At 43.2% G+C, this 19,526-nt stretch overlaps 1 protein-coding gene and 1 pseudogene across 1 annotated transcript; one reads left to right on the top strand and one right to left on the bottom strand.

Annotated features, from left to right (window-relative positions):
• Positions 13,998-15,059, bottom strand: DPPA3P4 (DPPA3 pseudogene 4; annotated as a pseudogene).
• On the top strand, positions 15,297-18,646 carry TMSB15C (thymosin beta 15C). Its single transcript, NM_001395930.1, has 3 exons — positions 15,297-15,393; positions 17,176-17,292; positions 18,209-18,646. The coding sequence occupies exons 2-3, from the start codon at positions 17,193-17,195 to the stop codon at positions 18,244-18,246; spliced, it is 138 nt and encodes a 45-aa protein (NP_001382859.1). The 5' UTR covers positions 15,297-15,393; positions 17,176-17,192; the 3' UTR covers positions 18,247-18,646.
• The last annotated feature ends 880 nt before the right edge of the window (positions 18,647-19,526 follow it).

Below are 19,526 nucleotides of genomic sequence, written 5' to 3'. Positions count from 1 at the left end.
CAGGAACAGAAACCAAACACTGCATGTTCTCACTCATAAGTGGGAGCTGAACAATGAGAACACATTGACACAGGGAGGGGAACATCACACACCGGGTCCTGTCGGTGGGTGGGGGACTAGGGGAGGGATAGTATTAGGAGAAGTAGCTAATGTAGATGACGGGTTGATGGGTGCAGCAAACCACCATGGCACGTGTATACCTGTGTAACAAATCTGCACATTCTGCACATGTATCCCAGAACTTAAAGTATAATTAAAAAAAGATGCTCATCCTCATGAAATAATCTGGGACATACAGGTTCAAACACTAGGGAGATACTCACTTTCACCCATTTGATGGGCTAACGAAGTCTGAAAATACTAAATATTGGCAAGAATATGGGGAAAATGGGACTCATACACTGCTGGTATGAATGTAAATTGATGCAATTACTGTGGAAACTTATTTGGCAGTGTACAGTCAGGTTGAAGACGCATGTACTATGTTATCTAGCAATTTCAATTCTAGGAGACATGTTTATAGACTAAGAGGAGGCTATTGCAAGAACATGAACTGCCGCATTGCTTGTAATAGAAAAGATGGAAGCAACTTAAATGTCTATAAGGATGGAAATGCATTAGTTAACTATGGAATATTCATATAATGGAATATTATATATCATTTAAATGCACCTCTATTGGTTACTGTATAAACATAGGTAAAATGTTTAGAAATCCATAATATTAGGTGAAAATTCATAATGTTGGGTGAAAAAAAACAAGTTGTAGAAGATTACACACAGATATGATCTAACTTGTCATAATGCAAAAATCACCAGAAAATGATTCATTTAACAAATATTTATTGTAGGCACAATTCTAGGTACTTGGGATCAGTGAAGAAAGCAGAGGTCTCTTCCCTTGTAGACCTTACATTTCAATGGGTGAAGACTGAAATAAGATAATTAGCATAATAAGTAAATAAATTATACAGTGTGTTAGATGGTGATGAAGCAAAAACAGAGGATGGTAAGGGGGATAGAGAAAACAAGGTGGGCAGTTTGCAGCATTAAGTAGGATGGTTCAGGTAGGTCTCATTGATATAGTGAGATTTGAGCCTTGAAATATGTGAGAGAATTTAAACGAGAGGCTCTATTGGAAAACAGCACTCCTTCCTGGAGGAACAGACATTGCCGTGGTCCTATGGCAAGAGTGAGCCCAGGCTGTTTGAAGGATAGCAAGAAGGCCACAGCTGTGGCAGAATGAGGAGAGCAGATGAGAGGTCAGAGATATAATGGAGAACCAGAAAATGTCAGACTTCTGCAGGGACTTTGACTCTGACTGCAAGTGGAATACGGTGTCTTTGCAGGATTTTGAGCAGAGAAATGCCATGATTTGATTTATATTTTAAAATGATCTCTTTAATTTTTGTGTTGAGAATGTACCACCATAGGGGAATGAGAGTGGAAGCAGAGAGGCATGTTAGAAAGCTGTTGCAGTTATCCAGAAGAGATATGATGGTGGATTCAACCTTACGTGTACCAATGGAGATAGTGAGAAGTGGTTGGATTTTGGATGCATTTTGAAGTAGAGTGAAAATGATTTCCTGATGGATTGGATGTGTAGTGGGAGAGAAAGAAAGAAATTGAAGGTGATGTCAAGGTTTTTGGCTCAAGCAGATGGACAGATGGAATTGCCATCAATTGAAGTGAGGAAGGCAGGAGGAACAATAGGTTTTATAGAACAGATTAGTTCTGCCTATGACATTTTGAGTTTGAAATGTCCATTAGACATTGAGTGGAGGTGCTGAGTAGGCAGTTGTATGTATCAGACAGGAGTTTAAGATGAAGATCTGGCCTGCAAACATGAATTTGGAAGTTAACCTAGAAATATTTTGTATTAGCTATTGGACTGGAAGACATCACCAAGGGAGTGCACATAGAAATGCAAAGAACAGGGAAGGAGCCCTGGGGCATTCTCATTTTAAGAGGTTTGGAAGAAGAGGAGGAGCCAGTAAACGAAACTGAGAAGGAGCACCCAGTGAGATCAGAGAATGTGTTGACCTGGGAGCCACGGGAAGAAAGTGAACCAAAGAGGAGTGACACGTTAGCAGTGCCCAATGCTGCTGATAGGTTAAGTAAAGTGAGGACTAAGAATTGATCACTGGATTGAACAACGTGAAGTCATTCATGGCCATGACCATGACCATGACAGGAACAATTTCAACAGATTTGTGGAGGTGGATCCCTGATTAGAATGTGTCCAAGAGAGAATGGGAGGAGAAAAATTGGGAACATCAAATAGAGACCACTATTACAAGGGGATGAGAGAGTAGTCAAACTAGTTACCTAGGGGAAGAACTTTCCTGATAGATGAAACAGACATTGCAAATGCTCTAAGACAATAGTGAGTATGGCTTGTTTGAGGAACAGCAGGGAGGCTACAGCTGGGGCAGAGTGAGTGAGGAACAGAACAGGCAGAGCTAGTGGGAGATAGAAAAGTATGGTCATCTGGGGCTCCCTCTTGGCCCCAAACTGATGTAGGTAGAAGGCCTAGGGAAGTATAGTCTTAGACAGGAACACCGGTTCAAATGATGTCTTATATTGTGTATAGAAACATATTTCATATGTATCTGTAAAAGAGATTTGCATCAAAGGGGAGCAAGGGAATTGTGTAATGGCAGGTGGGAAAGTGGAGCCAAGAGAATATAAATATAAATATATATATATACAATGATAAATATTTGAGTGTGATATATAATAAAGATGAGAAATAACAGTATAAATGAATCCTGATTGACTGATCAAAATGACCCAATAGACAGCACAACATTGATAATGCTGGAGATAAGGGAGAGAAAGAAGGTAAAGAAGGTAGTGATATCATTTAGTTGATGTGAGAAGAAGATATCTAGTGGGAAAAGAAAGGGGCTGGCTTCAGAGGGCAGTCTGGAAATATCATTATATTAATTTGCTAAGATTGCTATAACAAATTCCACACATTGGATGGCTTAAACAACAGACATTTATTGTCTCACAGGGTTGGTTTCTTCTGAGGCTTCTCTCCTTTAGTTGCAGATGACCATCTTCTCCCTGTGTCTTCACATGGTCAGCCCTCAGTCTGTGTTATCTGTGTCCTTATCTCTTCTTATAAGAAGACACCAGTAGTATTGGGTTAGGACCCACCTTAATGACCTCGCTTTGACTTAAGAGGTAATTATGTCACATTATGAGGTACTGGGGGTTAGGACTCCAACATATGAATTTTCAGGGACACAATTCAGCCCATAATAATCGTGTATGATATCAACAGGAAGACCATGTATATGGATGTGGGTGCAGGTAGGTGAAGTGATGTGGTGGTAGGAGTCTCTAGAAGTTCTCTTCTGATGGCTTGAATTTTCCAGTGAAATAGGAAGCAGTGGAAGAGTTAGTTAGGATATGGAGATAGTGTTGGGAATTTGAGGAGAAGGGAGTTGCAAAATAATAACTTGGAAAAGTCAGAAAGTTAAGGGACAGCATGATTGCCTAGCAGCATTAAAGTCTGGTTGGAGTTCATGGTCATTAAGTTAAACTGACAGTTGTCATGTGATTGTGAATTTTCCCCTAGCCAGCTTTAGCTGTGTGGGTGCGGGCTCATGGGGACATAGCTGGATTTAGCCAGGGGTTGTGATTTTGCCAAGCAACACAAAGTGAGAGAGGGGCAGGATACTGGAGGGTATTATGTAGAGGAGTGGTTTTAAACTGAGCATGGCATCTGAGCTAGAAAGGGAGAAGAGAGAAGACAATAAAGGGAAGAAGAGATAGTAAAAATCTGATAAGGTCAATGGACTGAAGATTCTGGTGAGGTTGAAAGAATATAGGGTCCAAAGTGAGTGGGCTAAAAAGGGAGGAGTGTATGGTCAGAAAGAGGGATGTTTGAAATTGAGATTACAGAGGGGTTCCCAAAATTATAGTGAGAAGGGCTAGGGTATGGCTACATGAGTGAGTACATGAGTGAGTAACTGAGGTGGAGTTGAGGAAAATGTCATGGAGGAGAAATGTTCAAGGAACAGAAGAGTCTAGCTTGTCAGATTATCAGAATGATTTTGTTTTGAGATGGGGGTTTTGCTAGGTTGCTCAGGCTGGCTCAAACTCCTGGGCAAACTTACCAACTTAGTCTTCTGAGTAGGTAGGACTACAGTGAGCATCACCATGTCTAGCTTTAGAATGACTGATATTGAACTCACTAAGAATTAAGACAGGACAACTGCCATTGAGAATGACCATGTTCTTAGAGACAAAATGTCTGAGAAATGAGGGGAGACTATTTCTGACAACAGCAATAAGAGCTAGTTGGTGACACTAGCTGTCAAAAGCTGGAAGTTTTTAGGGAGGTGGGAGAGGGATTGCTATCTAAAGGCAGCAATGAGAAGCAGTAAAGTCCTTACACAACTTTTAGGATCTGTGGTACAGTGGTGGTAGGAGAGAAAAATCATCTGCTCCTTGTGAGTGGGCTTCAGGGGATCCAGAGTCCTCAGGGAAGGGGGCATTCAGAGAAGAGGCTTAGACTATGGAGGAATTATTGAGGGTGCATTGTGTTTTATTAGCAGGGGGGCAGTGAGAGAGTGACCTAAAGAGGGGATGTGGACACAACCTTATGAAGGTTAGAATGTAGCAGTTGAGAGGTGTCTTGCAATACTTGTGGTGACTGGCACAAATGGAGATAAATGTTATCATTAGTTGAGTTCTAATAGATTCAAGGGAGATCAGGGTGGGAGGATTTTGAGGTCTGGGCTATGGAGAGGTGGGTATCTGGAGCTTCCTGTCAACCCCAAGGGATGTGGGGGGTGTGGTCTTAGGCTTGGATCACTGGTTCAAACAAGGCTTCATTTTGCTCCTTCATTGTGCTCAGAAATCAAATTAATCTGTAATGACAGAAAAACAGGCCAGAGGGCCAAGATGGCTGACTGGAAGCAGCTAGTGTGCGCGGCTCTCACGGAGTGGAATGGAAGGGGAGAGTAAATATAGTGCCTTCAACTGAAACATCCAGGTTCTCTCATTGGGATTAATCGAGGAAATAACTTGACCCACGGAGAACGGAGAAAAGCAAGACAGGACGACGGCACACCCAGGAGCAACACAAAGCCAAGGGAAGCTCCCCGGCAAGAGAAGTGGAAAGTGAATATGTGGTCCTGGGAACCCATGCTTCTGCCATGGACTTTTTCAACCCACAGGTCAGGGGATCCCCTCATGAGCCCACTCCATCGGGGCCTTCAGTCTCACACACAGAGCTATATGGAGTCCCGGCAGTACAGCAGGCATATGTGGAGATCCAGGAACTTTAGATACTCTGGCTATCTGGGCATCCCAGCAAAAGTAGCTGCAACTCCAGCAAAGCAGGAGGTTAGACCCCTGTACATACCCCTAGGAAAGAGGCCGAATCCAGGGGGCCAAGCAGCCATGGACTGCGGGCCCCACTTCCACAACACTTCACAGGATAAGACCTACTGGCCTGGAATTCCAACTAGCCACCGGTAGCAGTGCTGCACCTACCTGGGACAGAGCTCCAAGGGGGAGGGGCAGGCCGCCATGTTTGCTACTTGGGTGGCTTAGCCCTTCCTCCTCACTGGGAGGGACCTCCCAACCGGAGACTCCAGCCACCCCTGCTGGTGTTCTGTGGGTGACAGAGATTTGAAAACTCCCTGGGACAGATCTCCCAGAGAAAGGGCAGGCCACCATCTTTGTTGTTCGGATGACTTAGCCATTTTAGCCTTCAGGCTTTGGAGAGCCCAAACTGACCAGGGCCAGAAGCGGTACCCCAGCACAGTACAGCTGCCTTATGAAAACGTGGCCAGACTGCTTTTTTAAGTGGGCGCCCGATCCCCTTCCTCATCACTGGGTGGGGCCTCCCAACCAGGGTCTCTGGCCATACCCATTGGTGTGTCTCTGAAGTTTCAGGCGTCCATGGGATGGAGCTCCCAGGAAGAGGGGCGGGCTACCATCTTTGCTGTTTGGGTGACTTAGCAGTTCCAGCCTTAAGGCTTTGGAATGTCCAAGGTGACCAGGGGCTGAAGCAGATCCCTGGCACAGCACAGCTGCTCTATGAGAACGTGGCCAGACTACTTTTTAAAGCAGGTCCCCGATCACATTCCCCCTGACTGGGTGAGACCTCCCTACGGAGGTCTTCAGCCACCTCCAACAGTTGTATTCGGGTTGGCAACAGGCCCATACCTCCTTGGGATGGAGCTCCCAGAGGGAGGGGCAGGCTGCGATCTTTGCTGTTTCACAGCCTTCACTGGTGATACCTTCAGGTACTAGACTATCTGAGGCGACTAGGGACTGGAGTGGACCCCCAGCATACCACAGCATCCCTGTAGAAAAGTGGCTAGACTGTTACATGGGTGCCCATTCCCATACCCTCCTTACTAGGCAGGTCTTCCAGGCCTGGGACTCTAACTAACCCCTGCCAGAGCTATTGCGCCAGTAGCAACTCAGCAACTTCCTGGACAGAGTCCCCAGGGGCAAGTGAAATCCTCTCTGCCTCTGCTTTGGCAGTGGAACCGTCCTTGCCAACTTCGGACTAACAAAGAAGCAGAGACCCTAAGTTTATCCACACCTCCAACAAGCTACACTCAACCCAAGGAGAGGAGGCCAGTTTGTCTCTCATGGGTCCCACAAACCGTCCACTGCTTGTCACCAGACAGGGAACCCCTGGCTTGGGCTTACAGCACAGAAACTCTATCCTGGGCTAACTGCACTGAGCTACTGCTGACTCACATTTCTCTGGGGTGGAGCCCCCAGGAGACAAGCAAAGTGGTGAAGCAGCAAGCCAGCTGATGTGGAGCCCAGAGGTTTTGGCACAGGAACATCTGTAGCAGAGCATGGCCAAGCATGGCCACCCCTTCAAGCTCAACATGCTCCCATAAGAGACTTTAGCACTATGGTAACTGTCTGACCTGATCTGTGCTGGGCAGTCTTGCACATCAGACAGGGCTGGTCAGACCTGAGCACTCCTTGGTCTTCTGTCCTCTCCCAGGGCCCCAGCCTGGCCACACCTGCTTACAGGGCAGTCTTGCGTGCCCTGGGGGCCCACACCATGGCTTCTGTGCTGGTGGATCATGCCTGACTGGCAGAGAGCTCCAGTGTGGCAGCTCCTATGGCCTTGCACCAGCCTGCATGTTAACTCCCCATTGTGCAGCTACCCCCAAGCCCACAGCAACTCCCTACATCACTCTGTGGGCACCTGTCTGCACAGGTGGGTTTTCCTTTACTTGCTCTGCCAGCAAGTGGGAGTGCAGTAGGCCCCCAACCCCTGCCGATTACTGTTGGAGATGGAGCCTTGGTGGGCACAGAGCCAGCAAGTCTTGCCTCACCAGCGAACAGCGAACAGGGGATCTGCCCATACCCTGAGCAATCACTCCTGCTTGTGGGGAACAGAAAAGGCACCCAGACCTGAGCCAGCCAGCACTCTGCCCCAAGCCAACATTACCTCCGAAGTAACAGCCTACACAGTCTCCAGCAGTGGCCCCCTGCTCCCTGCTCCCTGCTCCCCACAGCTGCTTTGCCTCTGCTGCAGTGGTGAATGCCCACAGGGAGGCAGGCACCTCTGCATCCACTAGCACTTGGCTGCAGCTGCTGCACCTTGATCCCCCCAGTACAGTAGACTCCAAATGTCAAGGAGCCAGAGAGCAAGGTGGGGCCCAATACAAGTCCCCCAGAGATACAGCATGCAGTCCAGGGGTTGGGAGCTGAACATTGGCCCCCTAAAATCTTCCAGAAACGAAGCCAGATGGATGAATCCACCTTATACCACAATCAAATCCTCAAGGTCATCAAACAGGATAAAAGAAAAAAAAACCCATCCAAAGGTCAGCAACCTCAAAGGTTGAAGGTAGATAAGCCCACAAAGATGAGAAAGAATCAGTGCAAGAATGCTGAAAACTCAAAAAGCCAGAGTACCTACTTTCCTCCAAATGACTTCATCACCTGTCCAGCAAGGGTTTGGAACCAGGCTGAGGCTAAGATGGCTGAAATGACAGAAGTATAGGAGAGAAGTTCACTGAGATACAGGAGTACATTGTAACCCAATGCAAGGAAGTTAGAAATCATGATAAAACATGGTAGGAGCTGACAGAAAAAATAGCCAGTATAGAGAATGTAACTGACCTGATAGAGCTGCAAAACACACTACAAGAATTTCATAATGCAATCACAAGTATTAACTGCAGAATAGACCAAGAGGAGGAAAGAATCTCAGAACCTGAGGGCTGACTTTCTGAAGTAAGACAAGCAGATAAGAGTATATAAAAAAGAATGAAAATGAATGAAAAAACCATGAAGAAATATGCGATTATGTAAAGAGACTGAATCTACGACTGCTTGTTGTACCTGAAAGAGATGGGAAGAATGGAATCAACTTGGAAAACATATTTCAGGATATCCTCCATGAGAACTTCCCTAACCTAACTAAAGGGGTCAACATTCAAATTCAGGAAATGCAGACAACCCCAGTAAGATGCTGCATGAGAAGATCATCCCTAACACATAATCATCAGCTTCTCCAAGGTCGAAATGGAAGAAAAAAATGTTTAAGGCAGCTGGAGAGAAAGGCCAGGTCACCTACAAAGGGAAGCCCATCAGACTAACAGCAGACCTCTCCACGGAAACCCTAGAAGCCAGAAGAGATTAGGGGCCAATATTCAACATTCTTAAAGAAAAGAAATTCCAACACAGAATTTCACATCCAGCCAAACTAAGCTTCATAAGCAAAGGAAAAATAAGATCCCTTTCAGACAAGCAAATGCTGAGGGAATTTGTTACCACCAGATCTGCCTTACAAGAGCTCCTGAAGGAAGCCCTAAATATGGAAATGAAAGACTGTTACTAGCCACTACAACAGCACATTAAAGTACACAGACCAGTGACACTATAAAGCAATCACATAACCAAGCCTACAAAATAACCAGCTAACATCATGATGACAGGATCAAATCCACACAAATCAATACTAACCTTAAATGTAAATGGGCTAAGTGCCCCAATTAAAAGACACAGAGTGGCAAGCCAGATAAAGAACCAAGACCCATTGGTATGCTATCTTCAAGACACCCATCACACATGCAATGACAGACATAGACTCAACATAAGGGGATGGAGAAAAATCTACCAAGCAAATGGAAGACAGAAAAAAGCAGGTGATGCAATCCTAGTTTCTGACAAAACAGACTTTAAACCAACAGAGATAATAAAAGACAAAGAAGGACATTACTTAATGGTAAAGGGTTCAATTCAACAAGAAGATCTAACTATCCTAAACGTATATGCACCCAACACAGGAGCACCCAGATTCACAAAGCAAGCTCTTAGAGGCCTTCAAAGACACGTAGACTTCCACACAATAATAGTAGGAGACTTACTGACAGTATTAGACAGATCATCGAAGCAGAAAATTAACAAAGATATTTAGGACCTGAACTCTGCATTGGATCAAATGGACCTGATAGACATCTACAGAACTCTCTACTGCAAACAAAAGAATATACATTCTTCTCATCATCACATGGCACATACTCTAAAATTGATCACACAATTGGAAGTAAAACACTCCTCAGCAAATGCAGAACAACTGAAATAATAAACAGTCTCTTGGACCACAGTGCAATCAACTTAGAAATCAAGACTAAGAAATTCACTCAAAACGATACAATTACATGGAAATGGTAATTGTATTACAGTTCCATGAAAGACTCTCCTGAAAGATTTTAGGTTAAATAATGAAATTGAGGCAGAAATCAAGAAGTTCTTTGAAACTAATTAAAACAAAGATATAACATACCAGAATTTCTGAGACACAGCTAAAGTAGCGTTAAGGGAGAAATTTATAGCACTAAATGCCCACATCAAAAAATTAGAAAGATCTTGAGTTAACAACCTAACATCACAACCAAAAGAACTAGAGAATCAAGAGCAAACAAATCCCAAAGCTAGAAGAAGACAAGAAATAACCAAAATCAGAGCTGAACTGAAGGAGATAGAGACACGAAAAACCATTCAAAAGATCACTGAATCCAGGAGCTGATTTTTTGAAAAAAATTAATAAAATCAATAGACCACCAGCCAGACTAATGAAGAAGAAAAGAGAGAAGATTCAAATAAATACAACCAGAAACGGCAAGGGGGATATTACCACTGACCCCCCACGGAAATACAAAAAACTATCAGAGAATATTATGAACAACTGTATGCACATAAACTAGAAACCCTAGAAGAAATGGATACATTCCTGACACATACACACTCCTAGGACTGAACCAGGAAGAAATTGAATTCCTGAACGGACCAATAGTGAGCTCTGAAATGCAGGCAGTAATAGCCTAGCAACCGAAAAAAGCCCAGGACCAGGGGATTCACAGCTGAATTCTATCAGATGTACAAAGAAGAGTTGGTACCATTCTTACTGAAACTATTCCAAAAATTGAGGAGGAGGTACTCTGCCCTAACTCATTCTATGAGGCCAGCATCATCCTGACACCAAAATCTGGCAGAGATACAACAACAACAACAACAACAACAAAATCTTCAGGCCAATATCCTTGATGAACATCGATGCAAAAATCCTCAACAAAATACTGGCAAACTGAGTCCAACAGCACATCAAAAGGCTTATGCAAGACAATAAAGTAGGCTTTATACCTGGGATGCAAGGTTGGTTCAACATATGCAGATCAATAAATTTGATTAATCACATAAACAGAACTCAAGACAAAACCACATGATTATCTCAATAGATGCAGAAAAGGCTTTCAATAAAATTCGACATCCATTCATGTTAAAAATTCTCAATAAACTAGGTGTTGAAGGAACATACCTCAAAATAATAAGACCCATATATGACAAACCCACAGCCAGGATCATACTGAATGGGCAAAAGCTGGAAGCACTCCCCTTGAAAACAGGCAACAAGACAAGGATGACCTCTCTCACTACTCCTATTCAGTATAGTATTGTAAGTTCTAGCCAGGGCAATCAGGCAAGAGAAAGAAATAAAGGGCATCCAAATAGGAAGAGAGGAAGTCAACCTATTCCTATTTGCAGATAACATGCTCCCATATCTAGAAAAGGCCATCGTCTCAGCCCAAAAGCTTCTTAAGCTGATAAGCAACTTTTGCAAAGTCTCGGGATACAAAATCAATGTGCAAAAATCACTAGCATTCCTATACACCAACAACAGTCAAGCCAAGAGCCAAATCAGGAATGAACTCCCATTCACAATTGCACACAAAGAATAAAGTATCTAGGAATACAGCTAACTAGGGAAGTGAAAGAAAAAAAAAAGAACTACAAATAAAAAAGGAGAACTGCTCAAATAAATCAGAGATAACACAACCGTTCCACGCTCATGGCTAGGAAGCATCAATATCATTAAAATGATCATACTGCCCAAAGCAAATTATATTAATAGATTCAATGCTATGCCTATTAAACTAACACTGACATTCCTCACAGAACTAGAAAAAATATTTTAGAATTCACATGGAACCAAAAAATAGCCAAGGCAATCCTAAGCAGAATGAACAAAGTTGGAGGCAAACCATGCTACAGGGCTACAGTAACCAAAACCTCATGGTACTGATACAAAAACAGGGACATAGACCAATAGAGCAGACTAGAGAAGCCAGAAATAAGAACATATATCTACAATTATATGATCTTTGACAAACGTGACAAAAACAAGCAATGGAGGAAAGGATCCCTGTTCAACAAATTATGCTGGCATAACTGGCTAGCCATATGCAGAAGGTTAAATCTTGACTCTTTCCTTACATCATATAGAAAAATTAACTCAAGATAGATTGAAGACTTAAATGTAAAACCCAAAACTATAAAACCTTGGAAGACAACCTAGGCAATACCATTCAGGTACGAGCAAATATTTCATGAAAAAGATGCCAAAAGCAATTGCAACAAAAGCTTCTGCACAACAAAAGAAACTTGGTAGAGTAGACAGACAACCTACGGAATAGGAGAAAAGTTTTGCAAACCATGCATCTGAGAAAAGTCTAGTATCCAGCATCTATAAGGAACTTAAATAAATGTATAAAAGAAAAACAAACCCCATTAAAAAGTGGACAAAGGATGTTAACAGACACTTTTCAATAGAAGACATACATGTAGCCAATAATCATATAAAAAAAGCTCAACATCACTGATCATTAGAGAAATGCAAATCAAAATGATAAGGAGATACCATCTCACGTCAGACAGAATGGCTATTATTAAAATGTCAAAAAATAACAGATGCTGTCAAGGGTGTGGAGAAAAAGTATGCTTGTACACTGTTGGTGGAAGTATAAATTAGTTCAGCCATTGTGGAAGACAGTGTGGCGATTCCTCAAAGCCCTAAAGACAGAAATACCATTTGACTCAGCAATCCCATTACTGGGTATATACCCGAAGGAATAGAAATTGTTCAATTATAAAGACACATGCACAGGTATGTTCATTGCAACACTATTCACAATAGTAAAGACATGGAATCAACCTAAATGCCCATCAATTATAGACTGGATAAAAGAAAATATGGTATATATATGCAGCATGGAATAATATGCAGCCATAAAAAAGAAAAAGGTCATGTCCTTTGCAGGGACATGGATGGAGCTGGAGGCCATTATCCTTAGCAAACTAATGCAGGGACAGAAAACCAAATACTGCATGTTCTCACTTGTAAGTGGGGGCTAAATGATGAGAACACATGGATACAGAGAGGAACAACACACATTGGGACCTCTCAGGGGGTGGAGGGTGGGTGGATGGAGAGGATCAGGAAAAATATCTAATGGGTGTTAGGCTCAATATCTGGGTGATGAAATAATCTGTAGAAAATACCCATGACACAGTTTACCTATGTAACAAACCTGCACATGTACCCCCGAACTTAAAAAAAAATACGCTGGAAGCTACACATCACATTCAGGATAGGACTACCCCTAGGGAAGTGGGAAGGTGAATGGAAGTGGAGGGAAGGTCAAGGAAACCTCAATTATTTTTTCGGTAAAGTTTTCATTCCTTAAAAGAAAGACAAAGTAAATATACCTAATGTTAACAACATTGAAATCTGAGTAGTGGAAACACTGGTGTTTATTATATTTAATGCCAGGGACATTGTAGGTACTCAATTAATATTATTTGTTGAATGAGTATGCTTTTCTGTTTTGAAAGTTTCTCCAACAAACATACACAATTCTCAAATTAACAGAAAGTGCTACAAGAGCAAAGAAAAGGGAATGAAGTGAGGTGGGGAAGGCTTGAGAAATCCTTGTGGAAAGAATGATTTCTGATCTATATAGATCTATACCACCATACATGGGGTGCAAGTAAAAGACATAGTTCTACCTCCATCTTACCTTAAAGCGCTAAGGTTCTGGGTGAGTATCCAGAAAATGATCTTGAACGTTTAGTCCTTTTAAGTAACTACCGGATCCTCAATTTTCTCTTCCAACAGACACTGGGTGGTGCTAGTGTCCAAAAATTCCTCCCTATCACGGATTTATTACTTCAATCCACATACATCTCCACAACCAATGTGTCTTGTGGGCCAAAGTGCTAGGGATTGGGGATATAAAGGTGAATAGCAATAGCCTCAGTTGTTCTGTGATTATAAACTGACTGCTATCGTGTTCTGTGGCCGAGAAAGCTGCAAATGTGACTTTTACATTTCACAGGAGAGCACTACTGTCACAGAAATGTCCAGTTGTAGGGGTGAATGGCCCTGAACTACCCACCCTCACCATGAGCACTCGTACTCCACGACGTGGCCAAGGATTAGAGCAGACAACACCGAGCCCCACTTCCAACCTACTGTTAGGTTGTCCTTAGGCCCCAATGGCTATAAAAAGCCTAGAGAGCCTATATACCGGTCATTCAGCTTGGACCTCTGTGTTACAGATGTTCTAAGCTCACTGGGCAAAATGTGTCTGCTTATTGCAGAGGCTTCTGTTATTGTGAAAGAGTGAGTGTACTTTGTTTTTTTTTTTTAAAGGTACTCAAATGTCAACTTTATTGTTTCTATATAAACACCTTTTTGTACTGAAAACTGTAAAAATAACAAAGTTTGCTGTGATTGCAGTTCAAATTTTTGAAAGCCAGAAAATCTAATTATGCTATAGCCAAACTACCTAATGCTTTCTTTATCCACAAGTAACTTTGCTTCAATTTCTTGATGTTGGGTTTCATCTCACTGACTTTGGGCTTCTAAGACACATGGGAATACTTATATCGTCTTGGATTCTTTGGGTCAAATCAAACAGTAGAGCTAAAGTTATTCAAATACATTCAGATTACACAGATCCCTTATGAATTACTAGTATCATAGTAGGAAGAAAAAGATACAAGAAGAAAAATACATCCTAGAACTCATTATCAAAATTATTGGTGTATAGTCTGTTCTAGCATAGATTAGCTTTCTCAACCTGCTATATAAAATTACCAGCAAGAAAAAAAGGTGCAAGAATAAGATTTATGGCTGAAGTGGCTTGGTGTCTTGATTCTCTATTCTAGCATTCTCAGAAGGATCCCATCCGTTAGACACGCAGAAACTGCAGGGACATTTGAATGGTCTTGATTCCTTCTTAACTCCCTTAGGCTCCTCGTTTGTTGGTCTTCTTTCATGCATACGAACTCTGCCGAGTAACATGTATCTCGATCTTGCCATCTTTTCTCTCTGCACAGACAGCAATGTTCTTACTCCTCTCCTGCTGTAAAGCCACTCATCTTCGATTTCCCTGAGGACTTCTGCTCCTACAGACTCTCGACGGAGTAAAGCTTCCGATAGAGGGGAAACAGATTCGCTACTAGTGTTGATAGTCAAGTTACTAAGGTTCTTTATCAACGTCTCGGAGCAGATTTGAGAGGCCCCTGAATCGTCCCGGGAATTTTCTTCGGTGAGCATTTGTGGAGACTCTGGGATGTAGGTTGGATTAAACTTCTGTGATGGGTCCATCGGCGTCTTGACACAACACTAAGCTTCTCCTGGATCTTTGAAACGTAGCAGAAACTGATGACGGAGCCTCAAATTGCTACAAGGTAGCCCGGAAAGAGCAAGAGTGAGTGTACTTCGGATGAAGGGAATGTGGACCCTCAGGACTAAAGCAGTGGGAGAGGCCTGGGAGGTGGGGCCTGGGGAGGGCGAGGTCTGCTCTGAAGTCACCAAGCTCCTGATCTTAGAAGAGATGGTGGGCGCAGGCTCTGGAGGCTCAAGCGGAGGAGGGGAAGGAGGCGAGTCCGGAAACCCTCGGCCAATCAGAGAGGGCTGGGGCGGCGCCTGCTAGAAGGCTTAGCACTGCAGGGCTCTGGGCGGGAAGGCTAACCTGGTGCGGAGCCAGCCTGGGTCTCAGCCCCGCGTACGGCCTTTCACGAGTCTTCAAGCCTTCAGGTGAGTACCTGCGGCCTCGCAGGAGCCAGAGGACCATGGGGACGGGAAGGCGTGGGGGTCGCGAGGCGGGGGATGCCGCGCCTTCGGGAGCCAGAGGGGCTGGGGTTGGGGCTGGTGCTTGGTGTCTGCGCCGCCGCCAGGCCCGGCGAGTCCGAGCCTTTGTCTTTCTGGGGCGCCGCCTTCTGCGAGCGATGCCGAGCCCTCCCGGGGGCCGGTCCCTGGAAAGAAGGCCCCGGGGAGTCGGGGTGGGAGGCGGTGGTTGGAGGGGTAGGGGACCCTTAAAGCGGCCAGTCCGCGGTAGCTGCAGGTCAGAGGCTTCGAGGATGAAGAGTTTGGGGGCCGCCCGGAATGGGCCTTGTGGGGCTGGGCCCTGGTTCCTTTCCCTCCCGTGGCCGTTAGACTGGGCGTCTAACAACGCTAATAGTTATTTGAAAAAGTATGCAAACTGCTCCTGACAGACTGGCCTATGCGCCCGGCCCTGCTATTATTTATTGGTTAGTTCCAATTTCCCAGCTCCGAGCTTGGCGTCTGATCGCTTGGCAGAGGAGGGTCTTAGGGTAACCTCGACAGAATGGAGGCATGTTCGACACTTCTGACTGCTTGGGGGCCTCTGCATTCTACGCCAGGGACTAGACGAAGTGTCTTACTCCACCAGGGTGGGGCCGGGCTTGCTCATGAAAGCTCTACCTGGTATATCCTATTGTCTCTTCTGAACAAACTCGAGACTTTCACAGGGCACCAGGCATTTCGTCAGGTCCACAGCTACGCACGTCTGAGCCTCATCTCCTCCCTCTCTGCAGTGAAAACGTGAAAGAAGACCCACTTCTATTTGGTTTATTCCGTTCTGCTGAAGTCCTGGGTCTGATCCTAGTTAGCTGTCCCTTCTTACAGCGTTTACAAACCAGTGCCACAAGGAGCTATTATGAGACGTGTATTGTAGTGCCTTAATGTACTGTCGTCTTTGGGGATTTAAAATAGATAGAAATTAATACAACTTATCTCATTCTTTTTTTGTGTGCTGCTCCCCATCTCCCAAGAAAAATGGCAAAACCAAAAGTAAATAGAAAGTGAAGATGCTCAAATGGTGCTATGTTCTGTTTCAAAATAATTACCTGGTTAAAACCAGTCTTTATTTTTTCTTCTATCCCTGTCTGGTCTTGTGCTTCTATCACCTCCATTTTATCCTTGCTGTGATTTTAAGAGTCAGACAAATGGCTCTGTGTTTCTAGAGCATCTTGGTTTCTGGTGCGTTATGATCCAATGACATTTACTGCCTATCAGAAACGGCAAATGATGTGGAGTTGAAATTATTCTAACAAAAATATAACTTTTCTAATATCTGTTGCTGTTTTTCTGTTGAAAATGAGCAGGTAGAATATACATTGATAGGAAATGTGAAAATTTTTGCTTGTGATCCCTTAGTCCGAAGATAGTTCTGCCAGGTAAGTTTTCTTAAAAATGTTTTTTTCTGTCCTGGCGCGGTGGCTCACGCCTGCAATCCCAGCACTTTGGGAGGCCGAGGCGGGCAGATCACTTGAGGCCAGGAGTTCCAGACCAGCCTGGCCAACATGGTAAGACCCCCGTCTCTACTGAAAATACAAAAATTAGCCGGGCATAGTGGCGTGTGCCTGTAATCCCAGTTTCTTGAGATGCTGAGGCAGAGGAATTGCTTGAACCCAGGAGGCGGAGGTTGCAGTGAGCCGGGATTGCGCCACTGCACTCCAGCCTGGGCGACAGAGCAAGACGCTGTTTCAAAAAAAGAAAAAAGTTTTTTCTTTTCAGGCTTTCTTCTAGTCAAGATGAGTGATAAACCAGACTTGTCGGAAGTGGAGAAGTTTGACAGGTCAAAACTGAAGAAAACTAATACTGAAGAAAAAAATACTCTTCCCTCAAAGGAAAGTAAGTCATGTGGGGTTCTACTGGAAACAAACAATAGAGGAAGTTAATAGGTTCAGTAAATAAACCTATCTTCTAGTAATTTTTTTTACACAAAGTAAGCAATAATTAGAGTACCATGGTATTTAATGCAACAGTTAAAACTATCAAATAGTTTTCTTCTGGTTCTCACATGATGGGCCCAGTAGTGATGGGGGAATAAAAAACTAGTTTTTTGTTGGAAAATTATTAAAAACCACATTAAAACCAATCTTGGAATATTGGATGTAGCACTAAAAAACACTTAGTTTTTGTCTACTTTTGGGTATTTGGCATTTTTCTACATTTAAAAATTTGAGTCCATAATATTATCCCTAACGAACCCTGTAGACTCTGCAGTTTTGACCTTCTATATCTGATGAAAAGATAAAGTGAGAACAAATTTAGATCTTAGTATGCTTAAAGCTCTCAGATTCAAGGGATTGATTGGTTCTGCCCTCTGGAGTTATAGCCTGCTGGAGAAACTCTAAGCATATTCACAAAAGCCAAGGGGCACCTTTTGTTATGTCAGTTTTATTTGAGAGTTGCAATATTAGTTAAAATTATCTGAAAGTGTATAATTTTCTAACTGTATAGTGATAGACAAATCTGAAGAAAGTACTTCACTTACTCCTCAGTCTTGAATAATCTGAAAAAATGACAACAGCATTTGGAAAAACAAACCCTACAGTTGATGTAGTTTCTAATTGGTAGTTCAGGTACTTAATGTGTGCACACATGCAGGCACACACCCCACTCTGAGTTTTGTGTTTAATGCCTTGGCATTCTAAATTTAAAGCATGTATGGCAGCCTTCAATGACTTACAAAGAGCTCTTTTGGAAGAAGCTGAACTTAGTCTTAGGAAAATACTTTTGTAATTTTTGGTTTCTTTTTCCCCAGCTATCCAGCAGGAGAAAGAGTGTGTTCAAACATCATAAAATGGGGATCTCCTCCAAAGAGCAGATTTCAGCATTGCCTGACAGTCTTGGTTTTAGGCTTGTTTTTTTGTAAACCTGTGTGTTTGTAGAGATTTCAGACATCTTCTGATTTCTTCTCACCTATATTCCCTGGTTAAGAGGTCAGGGGTAGTGAATGTTTCCTTAAGTTCCTTTTTAAACTTCCCATTGGTATGTAAATTCCAAATGGCAGATGCTGTCAATAACCTTGCCATGGATGACCTTTGTGTAGGTAGTCCTTGCACCTCATGCAGGATAAGCCAATTTTAACTTTCTACAATGGGTGCCTCAATAGTTTCATAATCTTCATGAAGTTGCATCCTTTGGCAGCTTCTTACAGTTTATTTTCACTTCCAATGTAGCAATAAAATAATAAATATAATCGTTGTTGTCTGACTCTGTGGTTCATTCTGGTGGTATTCTAAGGAATGAAAAGTACACAAAGGTACCTTTTACACTCAAACAAAATGGTTGAAGGAAAACTTTTAGCAGATTAGTCCTGGGGGAAAATACTAAATTCTGTCCAAGTCCAGTGGTTCCTGACTTGGGGATGGTAGGTGCTTTTTCTTTATAGTTGGAATCACAGAGTTAGAGAACCTTGGGAGAGAAGGTCATGTGGACTAACCTCCTTATCTCAGAATGAGGAAATGAAAACACAGGGTCTGAAGTAATCTGCTCAATTTGAATAAGGGTTGGAATTCAAGCTGGGTTCTCTTGCCTTCTGAAAGTCTTTTTCAGCTTAGTGGGAGTTAACATCCAAGACTGAAGTTGGATGGAGAAAGGGGCAGGAGGCACTTGCTACCAAACACCATATTAAGCACATCACATCTTCTAATGACCTGTAGCACTGAACTTCTGGTACGGTTTTTCTACTGAACAGAATTTGCTGTTTTATGAACTAAACATTTCTGGTGTTCATGGTGAGCATAAATGTTATGGTCTGAATTTTGTCACCTGTGACCTCCTGATTAATATGCTGAAGCCCTAATCCCTAGCATGATTGTATCTGGAGATAGGTTGTTTCAGAAGTAATTTACGTTATGAAGTGATAACAGTCAGGGCCTAATCTAATAGGACTGTGGCCTTATAAGGAGAGAGAGACCAGTCTCTAACATGCGAGGACACAGCAAGAAGGTGCCTGTCTACAAGCCAGGAAGAGAGCCCCCACCAGAATCTGACCCTGCTGGACGTCGACTTGAGATTTCTTGAATCTAGAACTGTGAGCAAGTAAATTTATGTTGTTTAAGTCATTCAGTCTACAG

The sequence above is a fragment of the Homo sapiens genome, chromosome X, assembly GCF_000001405.40.
Source record: "Homo sapiens chromosome X, GRCh38.p14 Primary Assembly".
Classification (NCBI taxonomy): Eukaryota; Metazoa; Chordata; class Mammalia; order Primates; family Hominidae; genus Homo; species Homo sapiens.
This window is presented reverse-complemented; position numbering and strand designations above follow the sequence as displayed.